The 13,612-nt window shown below is 42.3% G+C and overlaps 1 protein-coding gene across 34 annotated transcripts in view; it reads left to right on the top strand.

Moving 5' to 3' along the window:
* CSGALNACT1 (chondroitin sulfate N-acetylgalactosaminyltransferase 1) overlaps nucleotides 1–13,612 on the top strand; it is a 353,748-nt gene that overhangs the window by 28,839 nt on the left and 311,297 nt on the right. The gene's annotated exons all lie outside the window — the stretch shown is intronic.

Raw genomic sequence — 13,612 nt, 5'->3', positions numbered from 1 at the left:
CGGAATATTTTGTGAGAAGAAATAATAGGAAATTTGTGATAATTTCCTTGGGGAAATATATCAGCTTAAAAAACAGTAGGAACCTTTGAAAATTTTCCCTTAGTAAACTTGTTTAGTAACATATTTGTAACCCATAGCTCCTTAGAAATCAGACTGCCTGCTTGAAGGACAATTTTATTTTAATTTCACCTTCTCAAAGGTCTTATGCCAAAGGTGGGTGAGTTACGCCTTTTGGGGGTTGAGGAAAAGGTTACCATTTTTTTCCACAGTGCAGTCATACACACCTAAAAATGTTCGAGAATTTTTGGTAGAAATTCTAAGAAAGTATTAAAACTCGAGAAATGAATTAACAAGCCACCTTTTTATGCAGAGGCAGCGTGCCTCTGCATTGAATGAATAGTACTTTATTCCTACAACTGCATAAATCGTGGGCTGAAATGTGGAATGAACATGTGGCCTGGAAATCAATGAGAGTGTGTGTGCGTGTGTACTCAGATTAGAACAAGTCTGTGCAAATAGGATTATAAGTCTGACCTAAACTCACAGAACCCTGAAATAGAAGAGTTTAAAATGAAATTCTATCTTCAGCTCACACCAGTGAGTTGAAGCATTTCTTTGAGCTTCTCAAACAGATCCTTCTTACTGTATGTAGCATTAATAATTTCTATTGCACAAAGAATGCTTGATATTTTAGCCTGCATTCTTATTCACTTTTTATTTTTAGAGCTGACCTGTAGATGTGTTAATTTTTTCCATAAAAATTGTTAAACCGTGGCTGTGGAAAAATGAGCCTACTTCTTTTGAATCATGTAGAAATTATCATAGTGTTTCCTTTGTGTGAGTCACAGTTAGATTTTACATAGAAGAATTTTCTTAATCCTCATAACAACCCTACGAGATTTTACAGATGAGGAAACGGAGGCACCGAATGTCTAAATGACTTGCCCAGGTCATGCTGCTGGTAAGTGCTGGAGCCCAGATTTAAGCCCTGGCAGCCTGGTCCCTGAGTGTGGGTTCTTAATCATTACATGACACAGCCTCTCAGAGCATCGCGCGTAGAACTCCAGTCGCACTTGGAATGACATCTTGCTGCTCTATTAAGATAAGGCTAGTCTCTTAAAGAGACTCAGCAATAATTTTAGTTGTTTAAGGAAATATATGTTTATTTCCCTCTCATGTGGTCTGAGGGGAGCATTCCAGGTGAGCAGGCCTAGGAGGCCTCAGGGCAGAGGCAGGACTTTTGCTAACTTTCCACTGGAGACAACTGAGGCCCACCTTGGTCCCAGGGTTATACCTACGTGTCAGGAAGGATGGGAAATGTCACCCAGCCATGGTGTTAGGGAAAAAGGGAGGACACATTTTGATGGGCAACCATCAACCATGACCAAAAAGGAGAATATCACCGTCTTGATAGAAACAATTTGTGGCCAATTGCAGTGGCTCACACCTATAATCCCTTGGGAGGTTGAGGCGGTTGGATCGCTTCAGCCCAGGAGTTCGAGACCAGCCTGGGCAACATGTTGAAACCCCATCTCTACACAAAATACAAAAATTTAGCCAGCTGTGATGACACGCGCCTGTAGTCTCAGCTGCTTGGGAAGCTGAGTTGGAAGGATGACTTGAGCCTGGGAGGTGGAGGTTGCAGTGAAAGCCGTGATCATACCACTGCACTCCAGCCTGAGTGATAGAGCCAGACCCTGTCTAAAACCAAACCAAACCAAACCAAACCAAACCAAACCAAATCAAACAAAACAAAACACAATTTTGTAATTACTAGGTGCAGCCTGTCAACTAAAGAAAATAGTTAAAGGGAGAAGTCACTCCTAATTCCACTGGACATTTTTTTTCTCCTTCATGCTGCTCATCATCCACTCCTTTCCATAAGCCCTCTGATTTCCTTTTGGGGAATCACATCTCTTCCCGATAAGGAAAGTCTGGTGTGATTGAAAAGCAGGTCGGGTGCCTTCCCTCAGCCCCAGGAATGGATGTGTGACCCAGGCTGGACCAATAGCAAGCTTCTTCCCAGGGATTTGAATTTTGAGGGGAATAAAAGTGCTGGAGTTTATTCATTCCTGGAAGTGGCACCTTGACTAGTAACTCTGTATGAGGATGTTCCTAAGGTTGCTGTCTAGAAGCTTCTAGAACTGCCTTAGTTCTCACTGACTCACAGGTGTGGCTCCTCAGCTTTCAGTCCTCTGAGCTCTCAGTGTCCTAATAAAACCCCTTTTGTTGAAGTTAGTCAGAATCCGTTCCTGTTGTTTGCCACTAATGATTTTTAACGGATATACTTGCTATCCAGAGGAAATTTCTGCCAAAGTTTGATGTTTTCCTTCCATTGTCTTCTAGTATATTTTTTTCATAGTCAGTATTATATTGTTCATATGACTTTATACTCATTCTAAAAATATTTGTACATGGTGACTATAGTTAATAATAGTGTATTGTATCTTTTTTAATTGCTGAGAGAGTAGATCTTAAATGTTCTCACCACCAAAAATGATAAGCATGTGAGGTGATGATATGTTAATTAGCTTGACTTAACCATTTTACAATATATTCATGTATCAAAACATCATGTTGTACTCTGTAAATGTGTACAATTTTTGTCAGCTATACAAAGGAAAAGAAACAAAAAGTAAACATGAAAACAAAAACATAAAAATGAATATTTTTTCATTTCACAACAGTAGTTGTATAATATTAGATTGTATGAATGTTCTGTATTTATCAAGGTAGTTAACAATTTTTTGTGTCATAAACATGTTTTTTTAATTACGTATCATTTTAGAACCATAGGGCTATTTCATTTATCAAAGGCTCTATATATTATTGTTTTAAAATTTAATGTTAACTTATCTTAAAGTCTGTAACTATTTACAATAACTTTTTTATCCAAATACATGGAGCTTATATTATTTCCAATATACAGGCGATGCAGGCAGAATTATCAGTATTTTGTTAGGAAATTCAAGGCCGCATGACTTTCCCTAGGTAATATGGCCACAGAGACTTTGCAAAAAAATTTAAGCCTTCAGAACACAGAGGATTTTAAGTGAAACTACTCTGAATGATACTATAATTGTGGCTCCATGTCATTGTACATTTGTCCAGACCCATAGAATGTACAATACCGAGAGTGAAGCCTGAATTATGGACTTTGGGTGATAATGATGTGTCCATGTAAGTTCAAGTGTAACAAATGCACCACTCTGCTAGGGTATGTGAGTAATGGGGGAGGCTGTGTATGTGTTGGGGGTAGAGGGTATATGGGAAATCTGTGTATCTTCCTTTCAATTTTGCTGTGAACCTAAAACTGCTCTAAAAAAGTGAAGTCTTTGGCCAGGCTTTACAGGCTTTGGTGGCCCACTCCTGTAATCCCAGCACTTTGGGAGGCTGAGTCATGTGGATCACGAGGTCAGGAGTTCGAAACCAGCCTGGCCAACATGATGAAAGCCCGTCTTTACTAAAAATACAAAAACTAGCTGGGCATGGTGGTGGCCTTCTGTAATCCCAGCTATTAGGGAGGCTGAGGCAGGAGAATCGCTTGAAACCGGAAGGCAGAGGTTTCAGTGAGCCGAGATCACGCCACTGCACTCCAGACTGGGCAAAAAGAGTGAAACTCCATCTCAAAAAAAAAAAAAAAAGAAAAAAGAAAAAAGAAAAAAGGTGAAGTCTTTAATGAAATTCAGGTATTTTTATGCATTGGGTTCCATCTTATTTACCAAGCTACTTTCCAGAGCCACACTGGGTGCCCCCTTGCCTTGGGCAGCCAGGACGCAGATTCTTATAGCTATGCCTTCCAAAACTCAGCCATCTCTTTAGAATGGAGGGTGGGCTGCACTAGCAAAGCGCTCGCCAAGGCTTAGTGCCTTGGACTTCCGCACCTGCCTGAAAATGGACAGTTATCCATAGTGTCAGAGGGAGACTCGGTGCTTACTTCTGATCTTCTGTAGTTTTTTTGGGTAAGGATGAACCCTGCATCAGGTTAAACAGCAATAGTTAGAGATGAGTAGATGGAGGCATGGGCAGGAGCAAGGTTGGAGCTCATGAGTCAGACAGCCACAATGAAGCCAGGGAGGAGAGATCAGGGGCAGCAGGGCTCTCAGAGATGCTGAGGGCGCAGCTCTCTGCTTACGTGGGATGGTGGATAGTCATCCATCACCAGCCAAAGAAGAGAATGCGGGGCCACCAAGCACATGTGGCACTCTGTGTTTCCCACTCCACTCTCCCTGAAAGGTCATGACACATGGCAACAACACGCAGAGGATGCACTGTGTCTGTGCATGAAACCCACAAGGCTGTGGGACTCAAGTATCTGAGCAGAACAGATTTCTATTTGCAACTTGTATTGACTTCATTGCACCTTCGTTGTATCTTGTGAATCCTTATGTATTAGCTGAGGGTGCAACAGCAGGCAGAATAATGGTCTCCCAAAGGCGGCCATGTCCTAATCCTTGTCATTGTAATCTGTTATTATATGCAGCAAAAGGGAGTTTGATGTGATGAAGGGAGGGATCTTGAGATGGAGAAATTATCCTGGGTTATCTGGGTGGGTTCAGTATCACAGACTTCTTGAAAGAATCAGAGAAAGAGAGGTGGTGATGAAGGCAGAGAACCAAAGTGATGCCGTGTGAGAAAAACTCAGCCAGCCATTGCTGGCTTTGGAGATGGATTCAGGAGCCACCAACCACAGCCTCTGGAAAAGGCATGGAAATGGATTTTCTGGACACTGGAAAAAGCAAAGAAATAGATTCTCCTAGAGCCTCCAGAGGGAATGCAGCTCTCCTGAGCCCTAGATTTTAGCCCAGTGAGATGCATTTTGGACTTCTGACCTCCAGCATTTTAAGATGATACACTTGGGTGGTTTTAGGCTGCCAGGTTTGAGGTAGTTTGTAGTCGCAGCCCTGGGAAACTGATACAAATGTGCTGCTGGGCAGCGGTGGTCTTGCTTTCCTGGACAACTCGTGCTCAGCTTATTGGATATTGGAAAATCAGCATGGAGATTTTATACAAAATCTCTACTTTAGGGAGGATTTAGGCACAAATCTGAGAGCCAGAAAATCCTAGGGTTTTCGAAATGAGAGATTTGAGGCCTCCCCTCCTTGAAATAAATGGTAATATGTTACTACTTCTATTGATTGAAAAAAGTTTCCTAATCTTTAAAAATAGACCCTTTGGTTAAGCAGGGAACTATAGGTCAGAGCTCTGTTTTCAAGCAAACTGTTTATATTTTCATTTGAATTTGGGACCAGGACTGTCTACAGATTGTAATATAGCCACTTGCATTTTCCAGAGTGTTTTTAGCATTTTCTCATGTACGGTACCATCAAATGGTGCAATGTATCACTAGACTTCATTATAAGCTTTTCAAAGGAGGCACTTTTTCCAAAAAGTACATCCTAGTGTGGGAGGAACTAGCCATGACCTCTGTGTCCTTGTACCAGAAAGCAAACCTGTTGCTGTGCCTTCCTCTTCATGCCTTCATCTTATGTCTCTGTCCCAGCAACTTCCGTTCCTTAGTGGATCATTTTATAAATTCCATTCCCTTTTTCTTCTTTTGATATCCTGACAACTAACAAAGTCAACTAGTCATGTGGTTTGTGGCAAACACTGATTTATTCTTTTTTCAGAATGGTACCTTGCATTTGAATAACGTGAAAGTGATGTGACATTTTACATGATGTAAGTGTAATTACACTTTCTAAGAATCCGCACCTCAAGATGTTTTGGGTTTCTATTACGGCCCACTTGTCTTTCGTTAGCACGTTAACAATATTAAACACACACATATGATATTGTTTTCATTTATTTGGGTGTATACCCCAAATATAAGTTCCTTCAAATATAAGGGCTTGAAAATAAGGGAAATAAGACTGATCTTAAATTTTAGTATCAATCCGTTGGGTCTTTGGGCCAGAGCCCAAAATAAGGTGAAGATTTCCCAGGACAGAGGCTTGAGGGTAATCTGAGAAAATAAATTAGCATATACAAATAGAGGAGGCTTGCTCTAAAAAGTGGAGATGATTGAAAAGGGAGAATCTTGAGACTTTGGAATCACTTATCTAATCTTTGTCCCTAGAATAAAGATCGGTGGCAGGTAGTAGTGACAGCCAAGGAAATCCAAATAGCCTAGTTGCCCTGAAAACATTTGGGAAATCGTTGTACTTGCTTCTGTTTTGGTTTTCCCAACAACGTTCTGATATTTGCTGGGCTTTACCTGTTGCAGATCTTGCTACCTGGGGAGAATATACTGGTCCCCAACATGTTAATTCCTATTGCAAAAGAGGAGCTGGTGCTGTAGTCATACCCAGCACTTTGGGCTTGGTTAATGTGAGTCTCTCCGAGGGATGACCCTGCCCTCGGTGAGAGTGCAAGGCCAGTGCCCATCCATGACTCTGGTCAATGCGCCAGGGCTGTGAGGTCCCCTGCAGAGTGGCCAGCTGGATTGAATTTGGTGGACCACATGCTCCCATCTGTCCCCTTCTCCAGTAACCACCCATGACCCTAGGCTGGGGAGACCATGTGCAAATGGTGTTGACTTTTGTGGCCAGACCTGGATTTGCATCTTGGCTCTGAAACCTAATACCTATTTGAGTTGACTTTGCTGGGCCTCTGTTTTTGTATCTGGAAACTGAAGAGAACACCTACATTGTAGGGTACCTGGCAGAAAGTAAGCATCCAAGAAATTATAACTATTATTTTAATTTTAATTAGCTAAAGGCATCATAAAACATTGCAAAAAGCTAATCGATTAATTCATTTATTTAAATAAAAAATACTGATGGAGGCCCTTTATGTGCCATACACTATACTGTGTACATTTTAGGGGAGAGAGCAGTCAATGGGAGAGGCAGGGCGGTCTCAAGCGCCAATTTCTTTTGCTTCCTTCTTGGTTTTAATGTTCTTTTTCTCATCTAATTAGGAAAAAAAGATAGATAACTAAATGCTTATTTTAAACAAATTTGAAATGTAAGCAAAAGGTTTCTATTGAATTTAAACCAACATGAATTAATCAGTTTTAAATCACAGAAAAAAAAATTCAATATGAAATTTCTTTTTTTTGCTTGAGTCGAAGACTTACTAGGTATTGGGAGCTGACACAGTAAATGTTTTACTGTAGCAACATTTTAGATTTGAATCTTTACATTGGCTACACCTGGGAATTTGTTTTTTTAGCAATTAATTTTTCTTTTGAAATTAATATGAAAGGAATACATTTAATGATCCATAGAAGTATTGACTTTATGTAAAGGAACAGCTAAAGCCAATTAGCATGTTTTAATTTGCATATATCGTGCAGTTCATTAGGCATAAATGTGTTCTCAGCATAATGCGTGATATTTCTCAAGTATGTGATATGATGAGAAGACTTTGGCGGTCTTTTCAAATTTAACATTTTCCATGACAGACAGAATTCTGTGTTTGTCATGGAATGTGGTATTTTAGTGTGAAGTGGCCCAATTTAAATGCTTTTAGCTAGAAGCCATTTCTCCCTCCTCTGAACTCTCTTGAGCACCCCAGCTATGGCTCATGTGCTTGTCATGGTCCATCAGGCTTTATGATTATTCCTCCGAGTTTCTTATCTCCCCCTGATACATGAGAACCATGTGCGGACTAGGATCGTGTCTCATGTGTTGTTGTCTGTGCCTATGTGTTTTGGGTAAAATATTTTTGAAGTTGCAGATTTCAGAGTGCAAACAGTGATTTCTGTACTTTGTTGATTAGAATCCTTCTATACATGGTGGGTGGAGTAGGCAGAGGGCTTGAGGTCTTGGCTGGGGACTTGGGCTTGTTGCATGGGCCTGGAGATCAGTTTCACAGTCTCCGGGATGTTGTTCACAGCAGGTTTTGGAAATGGTGGTGACAGGACTAGGACTCAAGAGAAAAATCTGGCAGATATCTCCAATGTGGTTCTGGGGTATGAGCCTTGAACTGAGAACCCAATGGGGAACATTTCAAGGTGACTGAATTCCAGCAGAAAAGGAGAGGGCTGGCTATACTGTTTGGTCACTGATTCTTGGATCTCATGTTTATTGTCACCTAGTGTGGTCCGGGAAACAGTGCTTTAAAACCCAGTGTGTGTTTTCTTCTCTGTCCTGGCTGTGCAGCTCCTATAGGAGATGAGATCTGAGGTCTCAGGGCCTCTGCACAGGGCCGTCCTTACCACTTCAGCAGGCCCCCTTGGGGACAGGTATCTGGCTCAGATTCTTCATCAGGGGCTTCGTTGTGATGTTTTAAAACATGCAACCAAAACCCTCCTCTGGGATGCTGCTTGGCCAGGACATTCTTGGGCATGAGCCAGCAGCACCAGAGTCATCCAGAGAGCGATGGAGGAAAGCTTTTTCCCTTTTGGGCTCTGAGAACAAGCAAGTGGATGGGAGGTAGAGGGGAGGGAGGGTGGAGAGAGAGAATCAGCATGATGTCTTCCCATGCCACGCCTGGCACAGCCACACTCCTTAGCCCTGTCCGGGGAAGGGAGCCACTCCTCGAAACTACCTCCCAAGACATGTAATGCATACAGTTCTACCAGGAGAGGTTGATTCTCTTGGATTGAACAGTGTCTCTCCAGGTAGGATAAATGTGATATTTTAGTGTGAAGTGGCCCAATTTAAATGCTTTTAGCTAGAAGCCATTTCTCCCTCCTCTGAACTCTTTTGAGCACCCCAGCTATGGCTTATGTGCTTGTCATGGTCCATCAGGCTTTATGATTATTCCTCCGAGTTTCTTATCTCTCCCTGATACATGAGAACCATGTGTGGACTGGGATCGCGTCTTATTTATCTCTCTTATTATTAAGCACGCTGCCTCCCTACATCACTAGGGATTGACTTTGGCTGCCTGTAATGGAAAACCTAAAATGCTGGCATGAATTGCGGGGTTTCACTTCTCTTGTGCTAGGAGAAGGACAGGGGTAGTGGCTCCAGACTGGCACAGTGGCTCTTCCATGTCACCAGTGCCCTTTAGCTTTCTCCTCTGCCTTTCTCATCATTCTCAGGTTTGCAAAATGGCTCTTGTACCTCTGTGATTACATCCACCTTCCAGGAAGTCTAAAGGGCAAAAAGTGAGGTCAAAAGGGATGAGCCAGCCTAGTGTGCTCCTTCTATTATTAGAAAAATGATAGCTTTCTTGGAAGACCCTAACTAGTGAGCTTCAGCTTATGTCTCACTGGCCAGAAGTATGCCATGTGGCAATACTTAGCTGCAGGGGATCTAGGCGAGGGAGGTGTTTTTTCATTGTTGTTTTCTCATGAGGAAGAATGTATGGCTGCCTGGAGCAAAATTGGGGTGCTACTCATAAAGAAGAGAGGTGAATGTAGGCAGCTGGCATTGTCTGGCATCCTCCCACGTAGAAATGACTCAGACAGACACTTGCAGAATGAGTGGCTTTAACTGTGGACGTGAAGCTTTATACCAAGAGGGGAAGATCAAGGTCTAGAATCCCAGTAAGAAACAACACAGGGATTTTTTGCTGATTTGCTCCTACCATCATCACACAACTATTTTGGACATTTAGCTCCTGGCATCCATTGTCTTGTTGTTTTTTTCTGAAAACGATGGGAGATTCCTACATCAAGACCTTTGTGATGTTTAATGTACCCAGGTTCTGAGGCCTCCTGAGTTTTGGTTGGTCATAACAGAGACAGATTGAAGAATGTGTGCCTATTTCCAGACATACCCCTTAGATAATGACAAATATCGGCATAAGAAGATCCACTTGTCAACCTCGCATCACAGGGAGTACAGGGAGTCTGTGCCAGGCATGGGAAAGAATTCTAGCTTTTTCTCACTCACTTTCATCCTACCTTCCAAAAAAATGCATGCAATGTGGCAAGATAAAATATAAATCAGAAAGACAAATGAGTCCAAGAGAAAACAAGGATGGGAAGTGATAATTTGAGCCAGGGTTGAAGTATAAGTTACTGTTTTGTATAGTGTATGTGTATATTGTATATGTGTGGTATCAGGTCCTGTGTACTTCGTAGAAATAGGGTACAAATTTAGCTCTCAGGTTTTAGCAGTCAGCAGGTGGAGGGAAAGACTCTGTTACACAGTTCGCAGTGTCTACAAGACAGAGATAGATGGTTACTTAAGGGAAGCTTAACTCTTTACAACGGTGAGAGATCTTGCAGGGCGTATGTTAATAGCCATAATACGTCAGGACATCTTAGCATGATGGGGAATTTGGGTTACAGGAATCCAGATGAGAGAGGAAGTTCATTCCTGTGGTCTGAGAGGGCTTCACGGTCGTGGTGATCCTTGCAGAAGAGGCAAGGGTAGAGTGGATGCAAATAAGTCCTGTTTGGCCAGAGCAGAGCTTTGTGTGTGGGAGGCATGGGAGGCAATTTGGGTGGATTTAGAGATGGCTAAATGGCAAACAACTGCAAACTGGGTAATGTTTTGGGCCGGGGAAGTGACATGATCAAAGCAATGTTTTTAAAAAATGACTAAGTGTTCATGATGGGAAAGCATTGCATATAATAATTATCAGTTCATATGAAATAGAAACAGTACATTGATGGCAAGAAAAAAGAAAAGAGAATGTGTTTTAAAAACACAGATTCACTTGCTGCAACTGTGCGTTTTGTTGCTATAGCATAAGAACTGTGCAAATTCAATCTTTGGCTTCTAGTTTTTAAATAGGAAAATGGAGGAGAAATAGAAAGCCTGTGGCCAGGCTCGGTGGCTCACGCCTGTAAACTCAGCACTTTGGGAGGCTGAGGTGGGTGGATCACTTGAGTTCAGGAGTTCAAGACTAGCCTGGCCAACATGGTACAACCCCATCTCTACTAAAAATACAAAAATACAAAAATTAGAGGGGTGTGGCAGCAGGCACCTGTAATCCCAGCTACTTGGGAGGCTGAGGCAAGGAGAATCACTTGAACCTGGGAGGTAGAGGTTGCAGTGAGCTGAGATTGTGCCACTGCCTTCCAGCCTGGGTGACAGCATGAGACTCTGTCTCAAAAAGAAGGCCTGTTATGCTTTGGACCTTTTAGGTATCATAAAAAGGGACTCTGGGCCCCAAGGAGAAAGTCTGCAGAGGCCCCAGCCCATGATGCCCAGCCCTGCGATGGCTTGATGGCGGATGGTGGATGGGGCAGGGGTAGTTATAGGGCATCTTGGCCTGTGGATCCTTGGTGCCTGCCTCTGAGCAGTGCCTGAGGCTAGCCTAGACTAGGTTAGCAATGCCGCAGACTAGTCTAGACTAGGGTTGCAGTGCCTGAGGCTAGCCTGGACCAGGGTTACAGTGCCTGAGCCTAGCCAAGACTAGGGTTACAGTGCAAGAAACTAAAAATAGTCTCTAGTCTTGCAGAACATAACCTACAGAAAAAAGCTATGGGTTCACAGTCACTGGACAACCAAGCTGGGGTTGTTAAACTGAGTCCCATTCAGGAGCTCAGGGCAGTGGGTCCTGGGAACCGGAGACCCGAATAGGGCGTATTAGCTGTTTGATTCTATCTTAATGTCTAAACCACATAAAGGGGCAGCATGAGGGAATTTCTGGAGTGGTGGGACCATTCGTTATGGTTCTGTGGTGGTAGATACATGACTCATTGCATTTGTCAAAACCTGTATAGCTGAACATGTGGAGTCTCAAGGCTTGGTGGTGAATTCACTGCTTTGGAAGGTTACTTGTCTACCACCTTCCTAAGTAACCTTTTGGTGTGGCTATGTTATGTGTCTGTACTCCACAGAAGATATTTTCTGCAGTCATAAGAAGAAAGTAATAGTTCACAGCTACATAGGCTATGTCAGTGGTGACAAAGGAACTTGTTTGCACCTTGCCTCTGTCACACGAGGTTAATGATAATACATATGCCTTTTAACTGGTGTGGCTTCACTAAGATGGAGACTGCAGAGGCACTGAGCATTGTGCGTAGGACTCAGTAAAAGTTAATTCCATTCCTCCTCTCTGCCAAAAGCAACTATTTCTTAAAATGATAATTTTACAAGAAACTAACACCTGCATAGTGCTTATCACATGCATTATCTCATTTAGTTTTCACAGCAATCCTGTGAATTAAATATGAATTTTTGCCTCGTTTATCCCCACTAAGGCTTAGAAGTTTAAGTCCTTTGCCTAATGCCATGCAACAACTGAGTGGGGAGCTGTGGCTCTAGTGTAGGATTGCAGACCCTTAGTCATATATAATTATAACTCTATTTGGAGAACTTGCAGAAAAGGATGAGGTCAACTTTAATTCTCTATGCTATTTGTGTATTTGGAGGTTGAAGGAAGTATAAGAAATTGCAAAAGGGAAATATTAATTTTTTTTTTTTGAGAAAAAGTCTCACTCCGTCACCCAGGTTGGAGTGCGGTGGTACGATCTTGGCCCACTACAACTTCTGCCTCCCATGTTCCCGTGATTCTCATGCCTCAGTCTCCTGAGTAGCTGGGATTATAGGTGTGCACCACCTCATCTGGCTAATTTTTTTTTTTTTTTTTTTTTTTTTTTTTTGTAGAGAGGGTTTTACCATGTTGGCCAGGCTGGCCTTGAACTCCTGGCATCAAGTGATCTGTCTGCCTCAGCCTCCCAAAGTACTGGGATTACAGGCATGAGCCACTGTGCCCAGCTGGAAATATATTTTTTTTTTAAAAAGGGAAAAGTTTGTACTGTATTATCAAAGAAGAAATGGTTTTGGTTGAGATAAAAGATAAACCATGTATAGAACAAATATGTAATAAAAAGCCAAGATTGACAACACAGGAAGATCATATCTTCTATTAGGCAAGATAAAGTATATTTAGAAGTATACTCCCTACCACACAGGATATGCCGAGTGCACAGAGAGAGGTACAAAGGCGGTGCTCAGAGCATGGAGGGAGGGGAGTTGGCGTATGACTTTCCCCCTGTGTCTCCCCTAGAAGACAAAAGCTTTATTTTGGGACGGGAGCAAGATTACAAGCTAGATTCAGGACTGTGTTAGAGGAAAGGGCGGGATTATTGAAGGATTGGCAGGATCACTGAAAATGCCATTTCCTTGGTTTCTGGGGATAAACTGCCTGCCCAAGACTGAGGCTTAATCAGAATAAGAGAACAACCTCCGACCCTCATTCCCTACTACAAGGCTGACAAGCATGGATTGACAAGTAATATGCAGGAAAGAGACTTTCTCTGAGACATGGTGCACAGGAAAGACTGAAGTCTGAGAGTGCAGCAGTCACTGGAAAATAGACTTGGCAATCAGCCCTTGCCCTGAACACAGGGTATCACTAGAGGAATGTGAGGCTGGCAGGTCACTGAGAGTAACCACAGAGACAACAAACCTCCAAGTCAGCCCAACTCCTAGTTAGATCAACTCAAACCCTTACACTAGACACCTAGCAGAACTAGCAGAAGGAAAGATGTGCCCATTTCCAGGCATTAAAATGTATTTACCCCCATCTTTATTCTCCCACACTTTCAATATAAAAATTACTAGGCATGCAAAAAGGCAAGAAAAAGATAAAATCGTTCTATTATAGAGACACATGCACCTAAATGTTCATCACAGCCCTATTTACAACAGCAAAGACATGGAATCAACCCAGATGACCATCAACAGTAGACTGGATAAAGAAAATGTGGTACATACACACCATGAAATACTATGCAGCCATAAAAAGGAATGAG

The sequence above is a fragment of the Homo sapiens genome, chromosome 8, assembly GCF_000001405.40.
Source record: "Homo sapiens chromosome 8, GRCh38.p14 Primary Assembly".
NCBI classification, from domain to species: Eukaryota; Metazoa; Chordata; class Mammalia; order Primates; family Hominidae; genus Homo; species Homo sapiens.
Note: the sequence above shows the minus strand (reverse complement) of the source record. Positions and strands in the feature narration are given on the sequence as shown.